Below are 24908 nucleotides of genomic sequence, written 5' to 3'. Positions count from 1 at the left end.
GGACTTAAATGTCTGCTTTTCCTGTGTGTTTTACTTTAAAATGAAAATACATTCAGAAACTGGACACAAAATTTCTTTTTAAAATACGTTTTTATTATTATGGATTCATAATAGTTGTACACAATTATAAGGTACGTCTGACATTTCAATACAAGCATACAATGTGTAACAAACCATGGTAATTGGGGTATCCATCACCTCAAGTATTTATCATTTCTTTGTGTTAGAAACATTCCAATTCCACTCTTTTAGTTATTTTGAAATATATAGTAAGTTATTAACTATAGTTTCCCTATTGTGCTACCAAACACTAGACTTTATTCCTTCTTTCTAATTGTATTTTTGTACCAAATCTGAGGGGGCAGATTTTGTACTCATCTGCCCCCTCCCCACTACCTTTCCCAGGCTCTGGTAACCATCATTCTACCTTCTATCTCAATGAGTTCTTTTTTTTTTTTTTAAGCTCCCACATATTAGTGTGAACATTCACACTAATGTCTTTCTGTGCCTGGTTTATTTCACTTAATGTCTTCCAGTTCTATCCATGTTGCAGCAAATGAAAGGACTTTTTTTCTTTTTTATGGCTGAAAAATATTATCTTGTGTATGTGTACCACATTTTCTTTACCCATCTATCCACTGATGGACACTTACGTTGATACCATATCTTGACAATTGTGAATCTTGCTGCAATAAATGTGAGAGGGCAGATACCACTCTGATGTACTGATTTCCTTTTTTTTTGGGGGGGGGTATTTACTCAGGAGTGGGATTGCTGGCTCATATGGTGGCTCTATATTTAGGTTTTTAAGGAATCTCTATACTGTTCTTCACAGTGCTGTACTAACATACATTCCTACCAACAGTGTACGAGTGTTTCTCTTTCTCCACATCTTTATCAGCATTCATTATTGCCTGTATTTTGGATAAAAGCCATTTCAACTGGGATGAGATTATACCTCATCCTAGTTTTGATATGCATTTCTCTGATGATTAGTGATGTTAAGCATTTTTTCATATCCCTGTTGGCCATTTGTATGTCTTTTTTGAGAAATAACCATTCAGGTCTTTTGCTCAATTTTAATTGGATTATTTTCCTATTATATTGTTTGAGCTCCTTATATATTATGGCTATTAATTCTGTGATAGATGAGTAGTTTGCAAGTATTTTCCCCCACTTGATGGGTTGTCTCTTCACTTTGTTGTTTGCTTTGCAGAAGGTTCTTAGCTTGGCATGATCCCATTTGTCCATTTTTGCTTTGCTTGCCTATGCTTTTAAGGTCTTACTAAGAAATATTTGGTTCTGGAGCATTTCCCTAACGTTTTCTTCTAGTAGTTTCAATAGTTTCAAATCTTAGATTCCAGTCTTCAAGCCATTTTGTTTTGATTTTTTTAATATGGCAAAAGATAGTGATCTGTTTCATTCTTCTACATATAGTTATCTAGTTTTTCCAGAACAATTTTTGGAAGAGACCATCCTTTTCCCAACGTATGTTCTTGGCAGCTTTGTCAGAAATTAGTTGACTGTATATGTATTGATTTATTTATAGGTCCTCTATTCTGTTCCGTTAGTCTATGTGTCTGTTTTTATGCCAGCACCATGCTGTTTTGTTTACTATCACTTTGTAGTATAATTTGAAGTCAGGTAATGTGATGCCTCCAGCTTTATTCTTTTGCTCAGGATTGCTTTGGCTATTCTTGGTCTTATTGTGGTTCCATATAAATTTTAGGATTTTTTTCCTCTTTCTGTGAAGAATGTCATTGATATTTTGATAGGGATTACATTGAATCTGTAGATTGCTCTGGGTAGTATGGAAATTTTAACAATATTGATTCTTCCAATCCATGAACATGGAATATATTTCCATTTTTGTGTGTCCTCTTCAATTTCTTTCATCACTGGAAAGATCTCTACAATAAAAACAAAAGTAAATTTCTTCGTGGTACAAGTAAGTCTTTTAAGATAAGAAATTTTAAGATTCCTCCCAAGCAATACTGAAAATTTCCAAAAGGCAGTTATTATCTCTGTTATATTAATCATTATATCCAGAGCCCAACGTGTAGCAAACAGAAGACCCTCTATAATATAGGTTGACTGAATAAATGAACCTCTATATTTTATGGAATTAGTTTGAGGTTTTTATGTTACTTTCATCCCTATAGAGCCATAAAATGAATTTTTTGGTGGGGGCACACAAAATTGCACCACGACAGCTTTTTTCTTTAAAACAAGCACAAGAATAAAGCTAAACGCAAATATTCACCGCACTGGAAAGCACTGCGCGTGCGCTATCTTACGCTATTGGCTAACACCGCAACTCTCAAAGACCCTCGCAAGAGAATCACCTTTGCGCTTGCTCAGTTGTGGACTCCACAAACAGAGGGCGGGTTCCAAAGAAAAGGAAATAGTCATTGCGCCTGCGCCGCTCCTTCTGGGGGGAGGGGGGGGCTTGGGCTGGCTGCGCAGGCGCACAGGTACCATTTTGACCGTAAACATCCTGCCGATTTGAACCGAGGATTTGGGCGGCAGGAAGAGCCGCGGCGTAACGGCAGCCATCTTGTTTGTTTGAGTGAATCGGAAAGGAGGCGCCGGCTGTGGCGGCGGCGGGAGCTGCTCGGAAGCTACACCTCGCAAGGGCTCCCCCCTTTCCCCACCCCCTCCCCCGACCCTTTTCCCCTCCCCGGGCCACCCAGCCCGCCCAACTCCCAGCGGAGAGCAAGGTAAGAGACTCGGCCGACCCCTTCTTTTCCTCCAGCTCCCTCCCCCCACCCTTTCCCCGCCGCTCTGCCGTCGGGGAGCCGGACTCCTGGGGGCGGGAGGGCGAGGGAGAAGGCAGCCCTCGCCGCGCCCACGCGTGCTGCCACCCTCCCGGCGCCCAAGCGGCGGCGCCACCCGCCCAGCCCCCTTCGCCCCGGGCCCGCCCTCGGCCCGGACCCATGCAGCTTGGGCCCGCATCATCGCTTGTTCGGTAACAAATGATTCTGATCCATTCTGAGATCTACAAAGGCTGTTACCCTGCAGGTCCATCTCACGTCCCCCAGGAGGCCGGGGAAACCCTGGGCTGCGGAGGGAGGGGAGGAGGTTTGAACGAGCCCGCTCTGGGGACCGGGCCGCCTACTCCGCGGGTAAAAATGGCTGTCTGGGAGGAGGCGGTGGCGGGCCCGGCGCCCGCGGTGCCAGCCCCGGGAGCAGCAACCTTCCGCCGAACTCGGGTGCGGGGCTCAAGAAAGTGCGGAGCTGGTGGGGCTGGGCGGGGTGGGGCGGGGGGTCGGCGGGTGCCCCTCGGCCAGTGACTGCTGCTGCCCTCCCGTTTTAAAAAGATAATTTTTACGTTGGGAATGCTGAATATTTCACAGACGCGTGGAAAAAGAGACGGAGGGAAGTTGCTTCTTTTTCCAAGGATATTTGCATAATTGGTTTTCCCCTGAACTTTTCTGATCATTCTTTAAAGTGATTAAGGATATCGGGTGTTGTAGAGACGCTCTGGGGGAGGTGTGTGTTTCTGATAAATGCTTGATGCCCTTTTCGTCGCTGAAAAAGGCTTTTTGCGAATGATCCGCTTTGATAGTGTGGGGTGACACTGTCGGGTTGTGCTGCCAGACTTAGCGGCCTTCTTCAAATTTGTAAGAGGGAAACCCTGGGGGATTTACTTGGTCACTCTGATTTGTTAGTGTCTTCAGCGTGAAAAAAAAAACAGCGTTTGTGCGAAGAGTTTCTGGGAAAGGCTTGTGTTTATCGGCTTCTTTTTGCAAGGGAAAGTTAATCTTTGTTGTCATTATACTGGTTAGAAGAGTAATTGGTTTTCAGGCAAAAATTTCTATTTTCTTAAATTGGGTGTAAATGCCAGCGGGCAGTGCGAGTCTATAGAATTTTGGAGACAGGCAGGAGAAGGTTTCTCAAATCGTGAAGTCATTAAATACCTTTGTTAATGTCGGAGGCAACTAATTATTTTTGGAAAGGCATTGATGAGGACATACGCCATATCTGATCTTCAAATAAGTTAACAGTTTGTATAGTTGAGGTGACAGCAGTGCATAACTAATAGACATAGTGCTTTTTTTTATACACAAGTCAGAATTACAAAAGAATTTCTGGTGAATTATTTTGTGAAACATACAAATTCTAAGAAACGCTTTTACAGTTTGGTACAGAATGGAAATTTTCTAATTCTTGAGAAATAAGGTTGTGTTTTTAGTTTAAATGTCAAACCAGAGTTGTTAGGCATGATTATACTGGCTGGTTAATGTTTTGCTGCAAGATTGTCTTCAGAGTTACTTTTCGCATCAGCAGTGGCACTATGTTAGGTGTGCCCTTGTATTTAATTTTCATAATCTTTTTTGATGAATATTATCCCAGTTTATAGTTGAGAAGTAACTTATTCACCGTTACAAAACAACTGAGCAAAGAGGGAGCTTAATTTGAACCTACGACTGTCTGATTGTAAAACTCTTGGTCAAAGGATGTTAGAACCAAAACAGAGGAGATTTCTAGTGTGCAGGGTTAGAAATATCTTCAGAGATCCTTCCCCCTACTCCCCTGAAGAGGTAGCTCCGTTCTGATCTGAGTTAGGTATTGACGTTTTCAAAGGTTAGGTAAACCACCAGATTTCAACCTTTCAGGTTTTCATAGTAGGGAAACTGAACTGCATAAAGGTTAGGCAGCTTAACTGCTAGTTAATGACAATAGCAGGATTATGTCTTTACTTCTGAGATAGTAGTTTTTACTTTGAATAGGTGGTGTACATTTATGTCCCGAGTTAAAATATGTGTGTGTGTGTGTGTGTGTGTGTGTATGTATATATATATATCAAACAGTACAAAAAGGTAGGCCTCACTTGCCCTGCATACCTACTTTCCAGAGGTAACCAGTATCACCAGTTTCATGTGTACGCCACAGGTATTTTAAGCTTATTCAAGAACTCGTAAATATATAGAGAAAGAGCATTCTTTTTTAAAACTCCAACTTTTTTGCACTTAACCTGGAGATTTTCCATGTTAGTACAAATGTTGTATTCTTGTTTAAAGTTGTACTGTACAATTGTCCCTTGATATTAAAGGGGAATTGGTTCCAGAACCAAAACCACGAATGCTCAAGTCGCTTATATGAAATAGTGTAGTATTTGCATATAACCTACTAACATCCCATATACTTCAAATCATCTCCATTTATGATATTACAATGTAAATGCTATGTTAATAGTTAATATAGTTGTTATAGTTTTTTATTAGTAGTATTTTTTATTATTGTGTTTTTTTGTCCCCCCCTCCAACAATTTTTGATCCTGGGTTGGTTTAGTCCATGGATGCAAGAAGCCATGGATAAGGAGGACCGACTATATTCCGTTGTTTGGGTTTATTAATTTTTCATATCACTTATTGATGGCCAAGTAGGTTATTTCGAATGTTCTGTTCTGCTCTGGCAAGGCAGCATAGTGTTGTAGTTAGAAGTGTGGATTCTGAAGTTCAAGTTCCACTTCCATTAAATACTAGTGACATTTACTTATCTTCATCTGTTTTCTCCATCTCTAAAATGGGCCAGTAATTTACTTCTGTAGGACAGTCATGAAGAGGTTGGATACATAAAACACGTAGTGCTTAGTAAGTTTTCTTAGGATTTTTTCGTGTTTGGTTTTTTGGTTTTGTCTTTAGTAATATGCATCTCCAAGTATATCTTTTGTATTGATTACTGAAAGTGCAAGTTCTGGCTAGAAAGTGTAAGTGAAATTTTTATAAAATGTTGTCATATTGTCCTTCAGAGAGGACAGTACCAATTTACACAACCGCAGTCCTGCCATGCTTTCTAATGAGTGAAATATTGGTAATGACTGATACTATCCTAGAAGCATGAGCCTCAGTTTGATTCTTTGAAACAGTCTTAAATTGCCATTTTTTGTATTCTTGAATATGTTCTAAAATAGCAATCTTTCTGCTGTTTCACATCAGACTTTAATTTTTTAGGGTCAATTGAAAAAAACTGCTTGCCGCTTTAGAAAAAAATGATTCTCAAATCATGAAATGCTAAGTTGTGCTCTGGTATCAAATGCAGATTTTCTGCACAGGGTTTTCATAAAGGATTTAGCAGAATATAGAATCTTCAAAATCTAAACAGATTAATCGACTTTTTTAAAGATTGGATGAAGTTTGGTATTATCAAGGAAAAAAAAATAGGCTTAAAAGGCAATTATAATTACACTTTCTCCTTATTCAGATATACACCAGGAGTCGATCCACCACTGCTCCTTTGGCTTCCTTTAGTTATTAGAGTGATTTCCTCTTGCTAATTGTTTCCCACATTAATTTTAGCATCACTCTGCCTTCCTTAGCCCCATCCTATGCCAAACAGGCTTCTGTTTAGGAATCTCTGCCTCTGCATAGCTGGGATATTTTAGGCACGGTGCTCTGACCAGCAGCTGAAGTGCTGGCCAGGAGCTACTGACACCTGTTGAAAAATGCCAGTAGTTTTAATTTTTAAAACGTCTAAAATTTTTTACATATGCCAATTATGAGATCACTTGGTGGATCTTACTTACTTATTCATTAAGCACATATTTAGTAATTGTCATGCCACAGATAGTATTCTAGAAGCTTAATATTAAGGAGTTTTTTGTTTAGGATACAGTTGCTTGCTTCCATAGTGGAACTTGGGGCTTGTCCTGTACAACAGCGATTATATTTCTCAGAACATGCTGCTATGTTGGATTTCTGTAAAGTTCTCTAGATTTTATTTATAACATAGTAGGAGCAGCTTAAGTTTTGTGATAACATTTTAAGGCTTGAAGTAGGCACTGATTTGAAACATAGGAGGCTCTCTTCCGGTATGGGAAGCATGTTTTAATCTATAAAATAACAAATGGCAAATAAAGCACCTTTGAGGTGTTATTTAATGCTCGTACCTTAAGAATATTTTGTCTGAGTTCTTAGTATAGAATATAGTATTTCTTCATTCTTTAATTTCTTTTTTTTAAAAAATAAACACGGGGTCTTGCTATATTGACCAGGGTGGTCTGGAACTCCTGCCCTCAAGCATTCCTCTTACCTTGGCCTCCCAAAGGGCTGGGATGGCAGGCGTGAGCCACCACCGCTAGCCAATTTCTTCCTTCCTTAACTCCAAATTTGGGAGGAAGAGTTTACAACATTAGACAGTTGACAAAGCCTGGTTTTTTTTCTTTTGAGGAAAAGTTTTTTTAGTATGAATTAATAATCCTTTGGGAACATTAGATTCAGAGAATGAGAATTTCAAGACTCTTTACTCTTAAGTGATGGAAATGGAGATAAAGCAAACCTGACTGCAGTAGTCTTGCACCACAGCCCCCCACCCTCCAAAATATTTTTGACATGTAAGAAATCTGTTGCTTGTGATACGCGTAACTAAAATATATTTTCTCTACATCATGGGAAAGAATTGGCACATTTTTAATTGAAAGTACAGTAAGCAAAATTCTTTAAGATTTACAGACTGTGAAAAAATGAAAAATAATTACTCTGTATCTTTTAGAGAAAAGCTAATTCAAGAGATTTTAGTCCCACCTGCAGTGTAAGAGATCCAGCTTCTCTGTGTCTTTCAGCATTTGATGTTGCCACTATTTTTTAATTTAGCTCTTATATTAAGTGTGTGGTGATAATGTTTTTGGCCTTAATTTGTATTTCTCAAATGCCTAGGATAATTGAACATCTCATGTTCTTATTTGTCATCAGTAAACCTCTTCTGTGAAATTTCTCTTCTTTGGCTCACTTTTTTTTTTCTTTTTATACAGAGTCTTGCTGTGTCACCCAGGCTAGAATGCAGTGTCGCGATCTCAGCTCGCTGCAACCTCCACAGCCTGGGTTCAAGCAATCCTCCTGCCTCAGCCACCTGAGTAGCTGGGATTACGGGCACATGCCACCACACGTAGCAGTTTCTGTGTTTTTTAGTAGAGACAGGGTTTTGCCAAATTGTCCTGACTGGTCTTGAACTCCTGGCCTCAAGTGATCTGCCTGTCTTGGCCTGCCAAAGTGCTGGGTTTACAGGCATGAGCCAGCCTGCCTGGCCTCTTTTGCTTACTTTCTAATTGGAGTTTTTTTTTCTTCTTACCCCTGAAGTTTTAAGAATTCTTTACATATTCTATATCTGAGTTCTAGTCAGATGTGTGGTTTACAAATATTTTTTCCCCAGTCTATAGCTTGTCTTTGCATTTCTTTCGTAGAGCAAAAGTTTAATTTGATAAAGGCGAGTTTATTGAGCAAGAACTTTTCCTTCATGGGTTGTGTTTTTGATGTGTCAAAATTTTTACCAAGCTTTAGGTACTGAAGGTTCCCCTCTGCCATTTTTTAAAAGTTTTGTCTATTTTGAATTTTTATATAATGTGTGAGATTTAGGTGGAGGGTTTTTTCCTTGCCTTTTTTGTTTTGTGGGGGGTGTGTGCGTGCGTGCGTGCATGTTTTCTGGTCTTCAGATCGTATTTAATCACTCCAGCACCATTTGTTGAAAAATGTATCATTTCTCCATTAGATAGCTTTTGCATCTTTGTAAAAAAAAAAAAAAATTAGTTGAACTTAGTTGTGCGGGCTATTTCTGGGTTCTCAGTTCTGTTACATTGACTGTGTTTCCTCTGCTAATACCAATCTTGAGTATTATAGCTATATAGTAAGTCTTGAAATCAAATAGACTAATTTTTCTCACTATTTTTCAAAATAGTTTTAGCTTTTTTAGTTTATTTGCTTTTCTATATAAATTTGATAATCTTGCCTATAAATATAAAAAAACTCATTTTGATAATTGTATTAAAGATTCTTTAAAAACTAAACATATACTTAACAATACTTGTCAGCAGTCACATTCGGGACAGTTGTCCTAGAGAAATGAAAACTTAATGTTCACCAAAAGTCTGTACATGAATATTTATAGCAGGTTTATTTGTAATAGCCAAAAACTGGAAGCAACTAAATGTCCTTCTATAGGTGAATGTCCAAGCATATGGTGGTATATGAATCTCACGGAATGCTGTCCAACAGTAAAAGGGAATATACTATTGATAAACGTAACAACTTGGATCACAGAAGCATTGTGCTAGATCCAAAAAGCCATTTCAAGAAGTCACATACCATATGATTCATTTATATAATTTTCTCAAAACAACAAAATTAAGTCCAGTGTGGTGACTCAATGCCTGTAGTTCCAACTACTTGAGAGGCTGAGGGAGGAGGATTGCTTGAGCCTAGGAGTTCAAGGCTGCAGTGAGCTGTGATCACATCACTGCACTTCAGCCTGGGAGACAGAATGAGACCCCATCTCTTAAAAGAAAAAAAGTGACAAAATTAGAAATGTAGAACAGGTGGTGTTTGTCAAGACTTAGAAATGGCAGAGAGAGAGGGATGAATGTGATGAGTTTTGTAGTGATGGAATAGCTGTGTATCTTTTTGCAGTGGTGATTATACACATCTGCATATGTGACAAAATGGTATAAAAGTCTGTAGACACATTGAATCAATGTCAGTGCCCTGGTTTTGATACTATATTGTAGTTATTTAAGATGTCACCATTGGGAGAAACTAGGTTTAAAAAAGTACATGGGACCTGCTATCTATGACTCCCTGTGACTCTATTTCAAATTAAAATTTTATGTATTGTACATGCACTTGATTTTATTTCTGTAAAGCAAGGCATATATCATTTTCTAGTCGTGGACATTTTAGAAAAAAATCAGAACAATAGATTTGTTTTAAATCTGGAAATTCATTCTCTGAAGTAGATTTCTTTTAAATCCGTGAAAGAGGGGAATTAAATGATATAAAGGAAATATCCTGCAGTTAATGTACTCTTCTGAACTGGGGTTTTCAAGCGGCCTTTCTTAATACATTAGAGTGCTGAAGGAAAGTAGAATGTCAGTAACATATTTGTGATTCCAAGACTTTCAGTCATAAGATAAATCTGCTGTACCATTGTCCCTGATTTAATATTTAAATTATAAGTAGATAAATGCTTTGTAAGTTCTTAAGTTAAGAAAACTATATATATAATTCTTTACCTTTTTTGAACTTCGATTTTTCTAAACTACCCACCTGTAAAATGGGGCCAGCCCATCTGCTTAGCTTTGCTTGGTGGAATATGAAATGCTTAGTACAGTACTTTTCGTGTAGTAGCAATTTTACAGATAATTTATCCCAGAATCGCGATTTTTAATGGCATTCTAAAAATGGAAATTTCCACAGATTTTTATCTGTGCCTGAGTATCTTTCTTCATAGATTTTCTTTTCTTGCCATGAAAAATATATTCTCTAGCTCTTGGCCAGTAAACAGACTATTTCTACTGTCAATCAAGATAGAAATGAAACAAGGCATGAAAGCAATTTGACTCTTGTCCCTTTTACTTTCAGCTCTTAGTATTTTGGGGTCTATTTTTTTTTCCTCTCTCAAAATTAAAACAATAGATTTGTTTTAAATCTGTTGTTTTTAAAATACATATTAAACATTTACTCAAGCATTTTATAGTTTTCATATTAAAGAGAGAAGAAAAATTTTAAATTTCTTATGTCTTGATAAGTATTTAAATTGTCAGATGATGTTTACATTAACTTTTTTTTCCCCTCTTAGGTTTTCTTCTGTTTTCATAGCCAGCCAGAACAATGTTCTACGCACATTTTGTTCTCAGTAAAAGAGGGCCTCTGGCCAAAATTTGGCTAGCGGCCCATTGGGATAAGAAGCTAACCAAAGCCCATGTGTTCGAGTGTAATTTAGAGAGCAGCGTGGAGAGTATCATCTCACCAAAGGTATGTTTGATGTTGACATTTTTATTCACTTTGTTGATTGTTTATTGATATGTGAAATAGAACTTCTAAAACAGTTTTTTTAGGTAGGGGCATTGGAGTGCAAGGAAAATCCTTAGAAATGTTTCTTTATTATGTGAAGTCCTTATCACCTCTAGATAGACTTGATATGATTACAGATTAGATTTTAAAAAAAATCTCTAAGTGCATATATTTTGATTTGCCTATTTTTAATGGCAAATAAGCATCAGTCAGGGCAATGCCCAAATATTGTTTACTGATCTGTTCCTCAGAGGAGCTTTTATTTGAGACCCTGTCTCAAAAAAAAAAAAAACCGACGTGGAAGTGCTGTAAATGCGTATTACTTAGTATAATAAGCCAATCTAAAAAGGCTACATATTATATGATTGCAGCTATAGGACACTCTGGAAAAGCCAAAACTATACAAATGAGACAGTAAAAAGATGGTAGGTTGGGGAGAGAATGGAGGGTTGAGTAGGCAGAGCACAGACTATTCTTTTTAGAGCAGTAAAACTGTTTTGCATGATAGTATAATAGTTAAATGCCATTTACATTTGTACAAACTAATAAAATGTATAACACCACGTGTGAACCCTGATGTAAACTACGGACTTTTGGTAATGATGTGTTAATATAAGTTTATCGATTTTAATAAATGAAACACCGATGGGAGGTGTCAATTGTGGGGAAGATTATCTGTGTGTGAGGAAGGGGGTGTTTATAAGAAATCTGTGCCTTTTCGTAAGTTTTGCTCTATTTCCTGGATGCAGCCTTCTAACAATCATTGTGTTAGTTTTTATGTATATACACAAAGAAAACTTGTGTACATGTACACAGGAAAGCCTAGAAGGCATACCAAAAGATTATTACAGATTTCTGTAGATGGTAGGATTACAGGTTGTTTTATTTTCTTTTTAAAGACTAGCCATTTAGTAAACATTTCTTGTTAAATGTTTGTTCACGCCCTTAAGTGTTTCTTAAGATTTATTTTTAGGATTATAATTGATAGGCCAAGTGATGGACATGTTTTTGAGATTTGTGATATGCACTAACAGTTTGTTCTGGTGAGATCATACCAGTTTGCACTGCTGGTCAAATTGTATGAGAACATTGGTATTTTCAATTTTTTTTATAGGTATGCTTACTGGGATAAGTTAATGGAAAACGTAGAAATCGTACTCCTTTCTGGAAAGTATATGTGTGGCTAATCTTTAACATCCGTAAGCAAATATTGAGTGGCTTAAAAGGATAACAGATTTTTTTCATGATATGTACCGAGTACTTTGTGCCACTTTAGGGACACTACAAACGAGTATGAGACAATCTGATAATTGAACATATACACGAACAGCCACAAAGGAAAGCAGACAGTTCAGGAATAATGTAAAAGATTGTAATGTGTTTATGAGAGAAAGTGATTTCTCTTCAAATTTTTTAAACCATTTCTAACTGAGCTTTTATCTATTTGGTAACAGGATGTAAAGATATTTCCACAGAGTGAACGGGCCTGAAATTTCTAATGTTTGCTTTGGTGTGCAGTTCTTGTTGTGAAAATGTCAGTTTAGTTGTTTAGCATAAGTGTCACACGTGGCTCATTTGCAACTGCAAGCTTGCATACTTTTTCTCTTCTCTCTTCCACTCCCCCACTGGAAGAACCACTGGCCCTATTTGCAGAGCTTTCCCAGAATATGTAGCCTGGAATCTTTATTATATTTATGTTTACACTTTAACACACACTAGCTCAAAAACATATGCCATACCTCATTTTACCTACTCCTAGGCTAAACTCTGAACCAGACTAATCCAGAAAGAAAGCTTTTGCCCAAACACCACTTTTTGAAAGTTGCTAGTTCTAGATAAGATAATAGCAGAGGTTTTTTTTCCCTCCTTTGTTCTTAGGTGAAGGTTCAATCAATATTAATTTTAAATTTTATAACACCACATAAAAATAGATTCTGTTTTTCCATTAGGAGCAACATTTTACTTTGAATTTTTTTAAAATTAGGGATTCATTGTCTGATAAATTCTGAATTTGATCACAAATTTGGTATAATTTTGGATGTCTAAAAATGTATGGCCATATACATCATCATTTATGCTGTAAGTCACATAAAATGCTCATAAATACAGAACCTGAGAGTCATAAGTAGGGTCCTAGAGTGCTGTAGAAAATACACATAAAATTTAAAATACAACATTTTCTTTTACAAATAACAATATACTAATCATAATTTAAACATTAAGCAAATGTTTAAAAGCTTTTTTTGTTACCTTAGAACTTGTTGTGCTTTATGGCGTGGTTTGGGAAAGTATCTGGGGATGTTTGAGTTCATATTGCCTTGTTCTTTCAGTAAATTTTCCTTATGGCTAGAGGAATTTTGAATACTTGTGTTTAGATGGAGTCTTATCTCATTGTTTTATCAACTACTGCTTTTCCACATACTGTATCCCATGTTAATGTTGATCAAGATCTGCCTCGAAAAAAGGTTGGGAGTATATTTTCTGGTGAAAAAAAGCTATGGATACTATTGTTCTTTATCAATTAGTATGCTTTCCAAACTTTTTTTTTTAAATCGGTATGCTTTCCAATTAATGGAAACTTAGTTAAAAAGTAGCTTAAACAATAAGGGAAATAACAGGCTTAATTAACTAAAATTTTGGAAACAGGGAGATCTGAGATTGGTCCAGCAGCTTGATTATGTCATCCAAGAACTCTCCATCCTTAGTGTGTTAGCTTCCTGTCCTCATACTTTAGCATTGTGGTTTACAGGGTGACTGCATGAAGCACCAAGCAAGCCCTACCTATTCACAAAGCAGGAAAGAGGGAAGGAAGAGAGGCGTTGTTCTTTTGGGGGGGAAATCTTTCTCAGAAACTCTCTGGCATACTTCACCTATTACTCAATTGGCTGAACTGTGTTTCATGCCCACTGAAGAACAGGTATTAGCAGAGAGGAATGAGACATCTGTCAATGTGGGGGACATTTGCTTCTCAAACAAAATCAGAATTGACTTAGCAAGAAACAATGGCCCTGGATTGGCAACCAAAAGTGTTACGTGCTCCTTAATGTGCTAATGACACAATTCATGGAATGGTTTAGTGCTTGCTTCCTAGCTTCCTTCATGTTTGTGTTAATTCGTGAATTTCCAGTCACTCTGTCTTTTCAGGATATTCGATATTCAGGGAATTTATAGGTAAGGACAGAGAAATGTATGTGATTATAAGGCAACTTTAAAGGAAAAAGATAAAAAGAAGACTATGAATGGCACGAAATGCAGGTTTTGGAATATGATTAATGTTTTATTCATAGGTGAAAATGGCATTACGGACATCAGGACATCTCTTACTGGGAGTAGTTCGAATCTATCACAGGAAAGCCAAATACCTTCTTGCAGACTGTAATGAAGCATTCATTAAGATAAAGATGGCTTTTCGGCCAGGTATTGTTAAACTTGTTTGGTTTTTGTTGTTGTTGTTTACTTTGGAGTTTCTCATGTTTTTTGTGTTACTGTAGCTAAACACATTTTCTAAATCTACATGCTTTGTTTTAATTGAAATACGAGGAACCCTTCAAAGATAGAGCAAGGCTTGGGGAGGCAGTGCTTCAAGGGAGGAAACCTACTTGCGTCTGTTCTCCCTGTGAAGTAATGGAGCTCACCCCCATTTGTTCTTCCTTTGGAGCTGCCTTTTTAATACTTTTTTCAGCAGCTTACATAGACTTGAGTCATCAAGAGGTTAAAATGTTGGAAACTAATTGTTATGTGATGATTTTTTAAAATATAGCTCAGAAAAGACAATTTTAGGATTTTAAACTTTTTTTCCTAAGTAAATATTCTTCGTAGTTTTTTGTTATTTTGTTTTAGGTAATGATTGGTTATAAAACTGGAGTCTGCCAACCACACCACCATCTAAGAAGATAATTAATATTTAAATTCACATATCTTTCTATAATTTTTAAAAGCATTGATGAAATTTTTATTCTAATTAAAATAATGTGTATTTTATTAAGAAATGCCTTAAACAGTTTCTACTGAGGATACATTCTAGTACTTCAGTTTATGTCAGTATGTGAACAGTAAAATGTCTGAGATCTAAGATTTTATTTAAAAGTAAAATATTTAGAAAAAGACTACAATACTTAAATTAACATGTGACCAATAAGCACATTTTATCTAAATAACATGCTTTTTTTTGTCTTTCAAAGTAAGGCATATTTATTATAGACAACTTGAAAAATATAGGAAAAAGATAAAGAAAATTAAAATTGTGTAATTCTTTCTCCAAAATAACCAGCTCCTTTTAACATTTAAGGTACTCTTCTGCAGTTATTCTTTTTCCCCCTCATAAATATCATGTTTAATTAGGAAACTATTACTAGTTATTTGTTGATATGTCCGTTTAAACATTTATGAGCTTAATGCATAATTAGTGCTTTGACTTTTTCCTAAAGCAAGGAATACAATTTATGAGCATGGAAAAAGAGAAGTACTTGTGCTTCAAGGTATTTTGCATATGTTATCAACCTTTCTATGAGAATATAAACTTAGGAAGTTATACCTACTTATCTCCCTCTGATCCCTAGATAATTTATGGGTAGCTAGATATTTAAGCTTAGCATTTCTTTTCTAGGTGTGGTTGACCTGCCTGAGGAAAATCGGGAAGCAGCTTATAATGCCATTACTTTACCTGAAGAATTTCATGACTTTGATCAGCCACTGCCTGACTTAGAGTATGTGTCTTCTTTTAAAAAAAATTGTTGACTTGGTCTGCAATAAGCAGTAGTATTAGCTTCCAAATGTATAGTTTTCCTTGGAATGTTTTACATTAACAGCTAAAATGCATATATATATTTATATAGGATAGTATATAAATATGGAACATAAAACCTAGAAAGTTGTTCTTCTGTAAGAAAATCATGTGGATGTCAGCTTTAACACAGCTAAGATGTGAGAGTTTTGACAAGCTTAGGCCAAAGCTTACGTAAACTGAAACAGATACGCTTGTTATATAATGATAGCAGGGAATGTAAACTGTTGCTTCATGATATTTTTCAGAGTTATATATTAAAGTCAGCTACTGGATTGGCCAGGCTATACTCAGAGCCATAATTCTGTTCTGGTTTGTTTTTATTTTTGTTTTAAATGAACATACGAGATAACTTTTTATGAAGAGCAACAAAGGGTCATTGTCATGACACACATTTGAGAGGAGAGAGTTACACAGAGATGGCTGTTATAGCAGAGTACTGTAGTTATGTTTCCCTTTTCTCAAGCCCTTACGATCCAGCTATCATGCCATGATGTTGGAACGTGACTGTAGCTTTCCAAGTGACTTATTAGCATAACTGACAACCAAGAAACTCTACACCATTACAGATTTCTCTGCTTTTTGAAATGATCTGTGGCTTCTAATTAGAGTAAGTTATGACCTATTTTGTTACTGCATGTGTGTTGATTAGTTCTAGGCTCTATCTAGCTATTTTACTTTTTTCTCTCTTTTTGACATTTTATTTGAAAATTTTTTATTATGGAAATTTTTAAACATAGCTAATAACTAGAGAAATTAGGATTATGAACCTTATATGTCAGTTATTCAGCTTTTTAAGTTACAAGTATATTGCCAGTCTTATTACATCTGTTTCCCCAGCTTACCTCACAACCCCCACCAGATTATTTTAAATCAAGTAACAATAATCTTATTTCATCTGTAATAGTTCGATATTTGTCTCTTAGAGGTAAAGAATTTTTAAAGCCTCCATGACCCATCACACCTTTAAAAAAATTATCAGTTATTCCTTAATATAGACATACCTTGGAGATACTGTGGGTTTGGTTCCACCACAGTAAAGCAAGTTACACAAATTTTTGGGTTTCACAGTGCCTATAAAAGTTATGTTCACACTGTACTGTAGTCTATTAAGTGTGCAGTAATAGCATTATGTTTAAAAAAGCAGTGAGCTTATCTTAAAAATACTGCAAAAAAATGCTAGTGATCATCTGAGCCTTCAGCAAGTTGCAGTTTTTTTGCTGGTGGAGGATTTGCCTCCATGTTGATGGCTGCTGACTGATACAGGTGGTGGTTGCTGAAGTTTGAGGTAACTGCGGCAATTTCTTAAAATAAGACAACAGTGAAGTTTGCTGCATCAATTGACTCTTTCATGGGAGATTTCTTTGTAGCGTACAATGCTACCCGATAGCGTTTTACCCGCAGTAGAACTTCTTTCAAAATTAGAGCTAATCGTCTGAAACCCTACCACTGCTTTATCAACCAAGTTTATGGAATATTCTAAACCCTTTGTAGTTGTTTCAGCAATATTCACAGTATCTTCACTAGGAGTAGATTCCATCTCAAGAAACCACTTTCTTTGCTCATCCATAAGAAGTAACTCCTCATTTGTTAAAGTTTTATTCCAAGATTGCATCAATTTAGTTACACCTTCAGGCTCCACTTCTAATTCTAGTTCTCTTGCTTTTTCCACCATATCTGCAGTTACTGCCTCCACTGAAGTCTTGAACCCCTCAAAGTCATGCATCAGGGTTAATGTTAATTTCTTCCAAACTTTCTGTCTATACCACTGAAACTTTCTCCATATGAACAATAAGGTAGTTTTGTTTTCTTATTCATGTTCACTAGAGTAGCATTTTTCATTTCCTTCAAGAACTTTTCCTTTGCATTCAAAACTTGGCTGTTTGGTGCAAGAGGCCTAGCTTTTAGCCTAAATCAGCTTAGGCATGCCTTCTTCACCAAGCTTATTCATTTCTAGCTTTTGATTTAAAGTGAGATACATGTGACTCTTCATTTTACTTGAACAAATAGTAGCCATTGTAGGGTTATTAATTGGCCTTATTTCAATGTAGTTGTGTCTCAAGGAACAGGGAGGCCCAAGAAGAGGGAGAAACATTGCGGGGGTGGGGGAGGGCAGGAGCAGTCAGAACACACAGAACATTTCTTGATTAAGTTTGCCCATATTATTTGGGCATCCTTTGTGGCACTCCAAAATAATTAAAATACTAGCATCAAAGATCACTGGGCCAGGTATAGTGGTTCACACCTATGATCCCAGTGCTTTGGGAGGCTTAGGTGGGAGAATCACTTGAGGCCAGGGGTTTGAGACTAGCCTGGGCAATATAGTAAGATCCCGCCCCCCCATGTCTACTAAAAAATAAGGAAAAAAATTTTAAAGATCACTAATCAAGATCACCATAACAAATATAATAATGAAAAATTTTTAAATAGCATGAGAATTACCAAAATGTGACACAGAGGCATGAAGTAAGCTTGTGCTGTTGGAAAATGGCACCAACAGACTTGCTTAAGGCACTGTTACCACAAACCTTTGGTTTGTTAAAAACTCAGCATCTGCGAAACTCAGTAAAACAAAGTGCAGTAAAACAAGGTATGCCTATATGATAGCCAGTCAGCATTCAAATGTCCCCAGTTGACATGTCGGCTTTTTTTTTTTTTTTTTTCTCCCAGTTCGAGTTGAGGCTAAACAAAGTCTACAAACTGCATCTGGTTGATATAGCTTATGGGTCTCCTGAGAATCTATTACAGCTTTGCCGCCTCCTATTTTTTTTTTCCTTGCCATCTATTTTTTGTACAGACTTGGTCAGTTGTTTTGAGGTATTAATGTTCTGGATATGGCTGATAGTGTTTAGATTGGTGTTTAGCATTACATACTTTTTATTTTTTATTTAGTATTTTTAAACTATATGAGAGATTATTCTTTATTAGAGAAAGAAACTGAGTCTCAGGGAAGTCAGGGAACTTTAGAGTTTACACCGCCTGTAAGTTGCAGGGTCCTAATGAAAACCCATGCCTATCTAGCCCATGATTTCTAATTTTTTCCTCTGTACTTGATTTAGTGACTTCTGCATATTACATTGTATTTGCTGATTATTGATGCTTTTCAAATTTAAATACAAGTTAATTTCCAAATCACTTACATTCTTGGATTGTACTGGAATGTGTGAAAGTATTAAATATTAAGGCTTCTAAAACTTGGTGGGTTATACATATATATTTTTTTAATTTTTCTTATAGAGAGAATTGGGATTTGTTTTTCTTATACATAGACTTGAAACTAAAATGTATTTGACCTTCTTTTAAAGTGACATCGATGTGGCCCAGCAGTTCAGCTTGAATCAGAGTAGAGTGGAAGAGATAACCATGAGAGAAGAAGTTGGGAACATCAGTATTTTACAAGAAAATGATTTTGGTAAAAGAGAAACAAATTATTAGCCATTAATTATAATGTTATATTGTGTTGCTAATAGCAATTTCAAAAGAAAACCAGACTATAGACAGAAAGACTTAAAATTTCATGTAATGCATTTTCATCAAGAAAAGAATTTGGCTTTCTACCAGTAGATTAAGCATTATTTTCATACTTGGAGCTAATTGTTTACCTACTTCTCTCCCTATATGCAATCATAGAACCTATATATTGATTTCTGCGAGGAGTCCCAACATTGAAGTGGTGATCACGTTTAAACCAACCATTTTGGAACAGTTAGTTTCCCTGTTATACTTGCTATTCAAAAACAGGTATTCAAAACTAGTTAGCAAGGCATATTGTTTTTTAAGAGGCGGGGTCTCTGCTGTGTTATCCATGCTGGAGTGCCGTGGCTCTTCACAGGCTGGATTATAGCACACTACAGCCTCGAACTCTTGGATTCAAGTGATCCTCCCACTTCAGCCTCAAGTAGCTGGGACTACAGGCACATGCCACTGTGCCCAGAACCAGATTCTTTTCTTGATGAAACACATTATAACGGGAAAGTTTCAGCTGTGACTGTTAATGTAACTTAACATACATACATATTTAGAGTTTATCAAACATATTTTAGGATCATTTAAATCTAGATCTAAGTTTGAATTTGCTAGTCATGCCCCAGTGTTGTAACTGTGTGTAATTGAGTCATTTTAAAAAATTCAGATGCTAAAGAATTAAAGTTTAAACTAGATATTTTAACATTTGAAGTAAGACTTCAGTAAGCAAATGTGACATAATTAGAATAAATCATTAGCAGTTTTCTTTTATCACAGTGCTATTTCTAATCTTTCTAAACTAATGACAAATTAAAATTTGTTTAGGTGATTTTGGAATGGATGATCGTGAGATAATGAGAGAAGGCAGTGCTTTTGAGGATGACGACATGTTAGTAAGCACTACTACTTCTAACCTCCTATTAGAGTCTGAACAGAGCACCAGCAATCTGAATGAGAAAATTAACCATTTAGAATATGAAGATCAATATAAGGATGATAATTTTGGAGAAGGAAATGATGGTGGAATATTAGGTATGTGGGAATGATGGTTATTCCAGCATAAACAGAATTTCTTTATTAAGTTGTAAAGTTTTGGAAACAGTTGCTAATTCTGAGTCTTGAACAGCTTTTAGATATATATGAGTGAATTGTGATCAGTTGGTTCAATAGGACATTTCGGTAAAACTAGCCTCTTAAAATGTTGTAACAAAACCTAAATATGCTTATCTCAGAATGCTAAATTTTATTAGTACTTAAAACTGTTCTGTTTGTGTTTGATAGCTGTGTTAAGTAAAATATTTTTTAAAATAGATAAATAAACTAGAAAATACAAATGAAGAATGAGAATTTTTTTTTATATACCAAGTGTTTTATACTTTTATAAACTACCTGGAGGAGAAACAGATAAAAGTTGAGTATACGTTTAAATTTTATCCCTTTTAACATAATTTTGTTTTTCCATTGATTGGCTGTTGTGGTTTGGCATTTCTTTTTCAAATTATAACTAACTTACATTCCCTATTTCAGATGACAAACTTATTAGTAATAATGATGGCGGTATCTTTGATGATCCCCCTGCCCTCTCTGAGGCAGGGGTGATGTTGCCAGAGCAGCCTGCACATGACGATATGGATGAGGATGATAATGTATCAAGTAAGCATTTCATGTTCAGTGATTCTGGGGATGATTGTATGGCATCCAGAAAGATACTTACCATAGAAGATGACAAACTAAAAGTTGTAGTTTTTAGTGAATTATAAATATCTTTAAGTACAGTGCTTATGATTACTGGTTCTGATTCTATGTTTAATCTTGCACCCCTCCCCATTTTTTTGGCCAATTGGGTTCAAGTCTGGCGGGGCTTTCCCATTAACTAGAAAAATATTTTTTCTTAGTAATAACAGGATTTCTTTCCATTTCATGAAGAGATTTTTCTCCTCCCCATTTGTGGGATATATGTTATATACCAAAGCTTTTTGTGACTTTTTTTTTTTTTTTTTTTTTTTACAGTGGGTGGGCCTGATAGTCCTGATTCAGTGGATCCCGTTGAACCAATGCCAACCATGACTGATCAAACAACACTTGTTCCAAATGAGGAAGAAGCATTTGCATTGGAGCCTATTGATATAACTGGTAAGCATATGAACCTTTAGATTTATACAGCATACAACATAAGGTCCTATTTCTGGTTTTTGCCTGTCTACTGATCTGCTACTGTTGTATTAGATAACTAGGCTTCTTGCTTTTTTCTGTTTTTTTGGCCTGTCTACTGATCTGCTACTGTTGCTTTAGTTAACTAGCTTCTTGCTTTTATGTCACAGTCATCTGTCATAGAGTCTTTCTTCTATCCAATTATAATTTTGAGTATTTTGTAGAATGTCTGTGCAAGTTGCTGTGAAATACAAAAGTATAGAACAAGCTTTCTGATAATGCATATCTTAGTCTCCTGGGGTTCCCAGAAAGTTAGCAGCTTACTTGTGTAACAACTGGAAAACATTGGAAAGCTTTTTTCAATAAAGTACAATTCTAAATGCTGTGCAGTTGGTCTACGAGCTGGAAAAAACTAAAAGTATTCTTTTTAAAAAAAAAACAAAACTAGAGGCTGGTGTGGTGGCTCACACTTGTAATCCAGTACTTTGGGAGGCCCAAGCAGGAAAACCACTTGAGGCCAGGAGTTTGAGACCAGCTTGGGCAGTAAATATAGTAAGACCTGTCTCTTCAAGAAGAAATTTTTTTAAAAATTTTATGCACTCTTAGAATTTGCCTTTTTCCACACATTCTGAAAAAAGAAATTTTTTTAAATTTAAAAACTGGAAATGTCAAAATTTCTAGAATAATCTTTTTCTTGTAGTTTTTTTAAGTAACATTGCAAGACACATTATTTAATTTGAGGAAGGCTGCTTCTGAATGACAGACAATTTGAGATAATGGGGATATAAAACCTAACAATTTCTAGATGGTTTATGAGGACAGTAGGATAGAATACTTGAAATTGATTACAGTGTAATTTAGACATAGTTTTTACCTTTAAGTAGAGCAAGATTACCCTTTTGGGTTTCCCATTGATGAGGGAAATGGGCAATTAAGTAAAATATATACTGTATTAGATGGTGAGATTAGAGAGAGACTCTCACTGTGTAACATCTTTTTGTATTTTTTTTTTAAGTGTTGAACCAAAAACCTTTGGGGTATGTCTGACAGGGTGAAATCTTGAGGATTTTATTTAACCCCATGCGCTTTTCTGCATTTTAAAAAAGTGAGGCAATACAACCTACTTGTAAGTTGTAAGGATTAGAAATGACTCTTAAAATGTCTAGGATGGAGTTAACAGGTCTATCTGACTGGGCTTGGGCTTGTTTCATTCTATCAAGCAGCTTCCACAACTGCCATATGTGAATTACAACTTTTCTAATAAAAATAACAGTATTTACAATCATTAAAGAAAACTCAATCTGTGAGTTTGAGTGATGGGCCCTGTTTCAAATGAGAAAATGAGCCCAACTCTGAAGAGTGTGATATGTTCATTGTTTACAGTATAAAACTACATAGGCAAAAATGTGTTGGCCCTTGCGTCATTTTGCTTATTTTGTGCTAAAAGTCTATACATACTCATTCAGCAAATTTTTGTTGAATGCCCGTTGTGTTCCAGCCTCTCTTCTGAATGGTGGTTGGAAAACATGAGTTAAAACGTTCTATCCTCATGAAGTTTAACTTCTCTGCTAGAGTCTGTGTGTAGAAAAGCAGGGGAATATAGTCAGTCCAGATCTTGTAGCTGTGTGTTCCATGCTGGCCTCTCAGGAAAATGATCTTATTTTTTATTATCATTCCAGTTAAAGAAACAAAAGCCAAGAGGAAGAGGAAGCTAATTGTTGACAGTGTCAAAGAGTTGGATAGCAAGACAATTAGAGCCCAACTTAGTGATTATTCAGATATTGTTACTACTTTGGATCTGGCACCGCCCACCAAGAAATTGATGATGTGGAAAGAGACAGGAGGAGTAGAAAAACTGTTTTCTTTACCTGCTCAGCCTTTGTGGAATAACAGACTACTGAAGGTAATATAGTTTGCAGAATTTTTACTTCATATACATTTTGAGCATCTAAAAAAAAAAGATTCTAAAACCTTTGAATCATTTTTGATCAAGTATTTTGCAACTGTATGGCACATTTTCTTTTTTCTCCCTTAAATCACAGTGTACTGGGCATAACTTCATCTGAAATATATGGATAAGTGAGACCTGCATTTCTAAAAGATGTAAAATGAATTTTCCTTACATTAAAAAGCCACTGACGTGTTTAATAATACTTCTCTCTGTAATAAATTATTAGTTATATCGTCTTAGTGTGTTTTACATCTGAATTCTTGAAATGTTTTCTGAATGAAACATGAGTGGTTCTCCTTTTTCCACAGTAAAGAATTCTGGCTTCAGGAGGTTTTTTGTTGTTTTGTTTTTTTGTTTGTTTGTTTGTTTTTCCATTTATAGGCTCTTTTCTGCTCACATTCCACAGTATTCCAAAATAAGACTCACAGGTGTCTGGTGAATGAAGCAGTGCTGTTAGGCTACTATTCTGTCTGAAGTTGAGATATGCACAGAACCTATTGATTTTACCGTGTATTTAGAATATAGTAATATATTCTAAATCTAAAGTATCCCAGAGCAACAACATTGTGCTCTTTATTGTAAGCCCTATCATATAATTATTTTTAAGAAGGTCCTTAAACTATTTATTCTTTGACTCAGTAATTTCATTATTAGAAATTTTTCCTAAGGAAGTAATTCAAAGTGTGGAAAAGCTATCTCTGTGAAAATGTTGATTACATTGTTCTTTACAGTTTAAAAAGAGAGAAGCCTGAAATTTTAAAAGTAGAGGAATGGTTCAAAATGAAATATTATGTAGCCATTAAAAGTAGTTTAAATGAGACCAGAAGCAGTCGCTCATGCCTGTAATCCCAGCACTTTGGGAGGCTGAGGCGAGTGGATCACTTGAGGTCAGGAGTTTGAGACCAGCTTGGCTAACATGGTAAAATCCCGTCTGTACTAATAATATAAAAATTAGCCGTGTGTGGTGGTACACACCTGTAATCCCAGCTACTCAGGAGGCTGAGGCACAAGAATCACTTGAACCGGGGGCGCGGAGGTTGCAATGAGCTGAGATTGTGCCACTGCACTCCAGCCTGGGCGACAGAGTGAGACTCCATCTCAAAAAAAAAATAGTTTAAATGATAGCTAATAAGGTTACCATATGTAAGGGAAGAAAACACAATTTAAAGCTATTTTGTATGAGACCAGTTAGGATGAGTTTTAATTGATGAATATGAAAATAAACTGCAGGCAGATAAATAGAAAAGCCCTTAAGGTTGTGAGATAATGGATACAGTTTTTTTAGTTTATCTAAAATGTCTGCAGTTATAATTTGAAAACTCATTTAAAATCATTTTCAGATGGAATGAAATGTGAATATGATAAAAGCCATGCTAAATTATACACTTATATTTATTAGAACATACCTTTGGAAGATAGAAATCAGTGGTGACTTTTTAATTAGATTTATTTTATAATTGAAATTTTTCTTTTTTTTTTTTTTAATAGCTCTTTACACGCTGTCTTACACCGCTTGTACCAGAAGACCTTAGAAAAAGGAGGAAAGGAGGAGAGGCAGATAATTTGGATGAATTCCTCAAAGAATTTGAAAATCCAGAGGTTCCTAGAGAGGACCAGCAACAGCAGCATCAGCAGCGTGATGTTATCGGTTTGTTCTGTTGGAATAGTTCCTTGATGAAGTTCACATGAGTATTTGGCTTAAAATTTACCTTTATACTGTCAGAGTGAAAGAAATGAGGAATCAAAGATATACTCAAATGTTTGGGCAGGGAAA

The 24908-nt window shown here is 36.0% G+C and overlaps 1 protein-coding gene, 1 long non-coding RNA gene and 1 other non-coding gene across 3 annotated transcripts in view, besides 3 other annotated features; 2 read left to right on the top strand and 1 right to left on the bottom strand.

Annotated features, from left to right (window-relative positions):
• RAD21-AS1 (RAD21 antisense RNA 1) lies at nt 463-2907 on the bottom strand. The gene is made up of 2 exons (NR_033886.1): nt 2346-2907; nt 463-1910 (listed from the first exon to the last, which is right to left on the bottom strand). It is a non-coding gene; the product is annotated as an RAD21 antisense RNA 1 (long non-coding RNA).
• Nucleotides 2531-2603, top strand: MIR3610 (microRNA 3610). The gene has a single exon (NR_037404.1). It is a non-coding gene; the product is annotated as a microRNA 3610 (primary transcript).
• Nucleotides 2555-24908, top strand: part of RAD21 (RAD21 cohesin complex component) — a 28843-nt gene continuing 6489 nt past the window's right edge. The window contains exons 1-10 of the mRNA NM_006265.3: nt 2555-2720; nt 10570-10745; nt 14072-14201; nt 15391-15490; nt 18873-18979; nt 19858-20064; nt 20560-20685; nt 21043-21165; nt 22863-23086; nt 24623-24782. Of these exons, the coding sequence (NP_006256.1) occupies nt 10602-10745; nt 14072-14201; nt 15391-15490; nt 18873-18979; nt 19858-20064; nt 20560-20685; nt 21043-21165; nt 22863-23086; nt 24623-24782 (1321 nt within the window). The 5' untranslated portion in view covers nt 2555-2720; nt 10570-10601. The remainder of the gene's footprint in view (nt 2721-10569; nt 10746-14071; nt 14202-15390; nt 15491-18872; nt 18980-19857; nt 20065-20559; nt 20686-21042; nt 21166-22862; nt 23087-24622; nt 24783-24908) is intronic.
• Nucleotides 2558-2607: an enhancer, noted in NCBI's record as "active region_27832". NCBI's record gives its function as "activates an Ori minimal core promoter by ATAC-STARR-seq in GM12878 lymphoblastoid cells {active_cell/tissue: GM12878}" and the evidence as "EXISTENCE:reporter gene assay evidence [ECO:0000049][PMID:35858748]".
• Nucleotides 2718-3037: a silencer, noted in NCBI's record as "silent region_19474". NCBI's record gives its function as "represses an Ori minimal core promoter by ATAC-STARR-seq in GM12878 lymphoblastoid cells {active_cell/tissue: GM12878}" and the evidence as "EXISTENCE:reporter gene assay evidence [ECO:0000049][PMID:35858748]".
• Nucleotides 3198-3247: a silencer, noted in NCBI's record as "silent region_19473". NCBI's record gives its function as "represses an Ori minimal core promoter by ATAC-STARR-seq in GM12878 lymphoblastoid cells {active_cell/tissue: GM12878}" and the evidence as "EXISTENCE:reporter gene assay evidence [ECO:0000049][PMID:35858748]".

This window comes from Homo sapiens, chromosome 8 (assembly GCF_000001405.40).
Source record: "Homo sapiens chromosome 8, GRCh38.p14 Primary Assembly".
NCBI classification, from domain to species: domain Eukaryota; kingdom Metazoa; phylum Chordata; class Mammalia; order Primates; family Hominidae; genus Homo; species Homo sapiens.
Note: the sequence above shows the minus strand (reverse complement) of the source record. Positions and strands in the feature narration are given on the sequence as shown.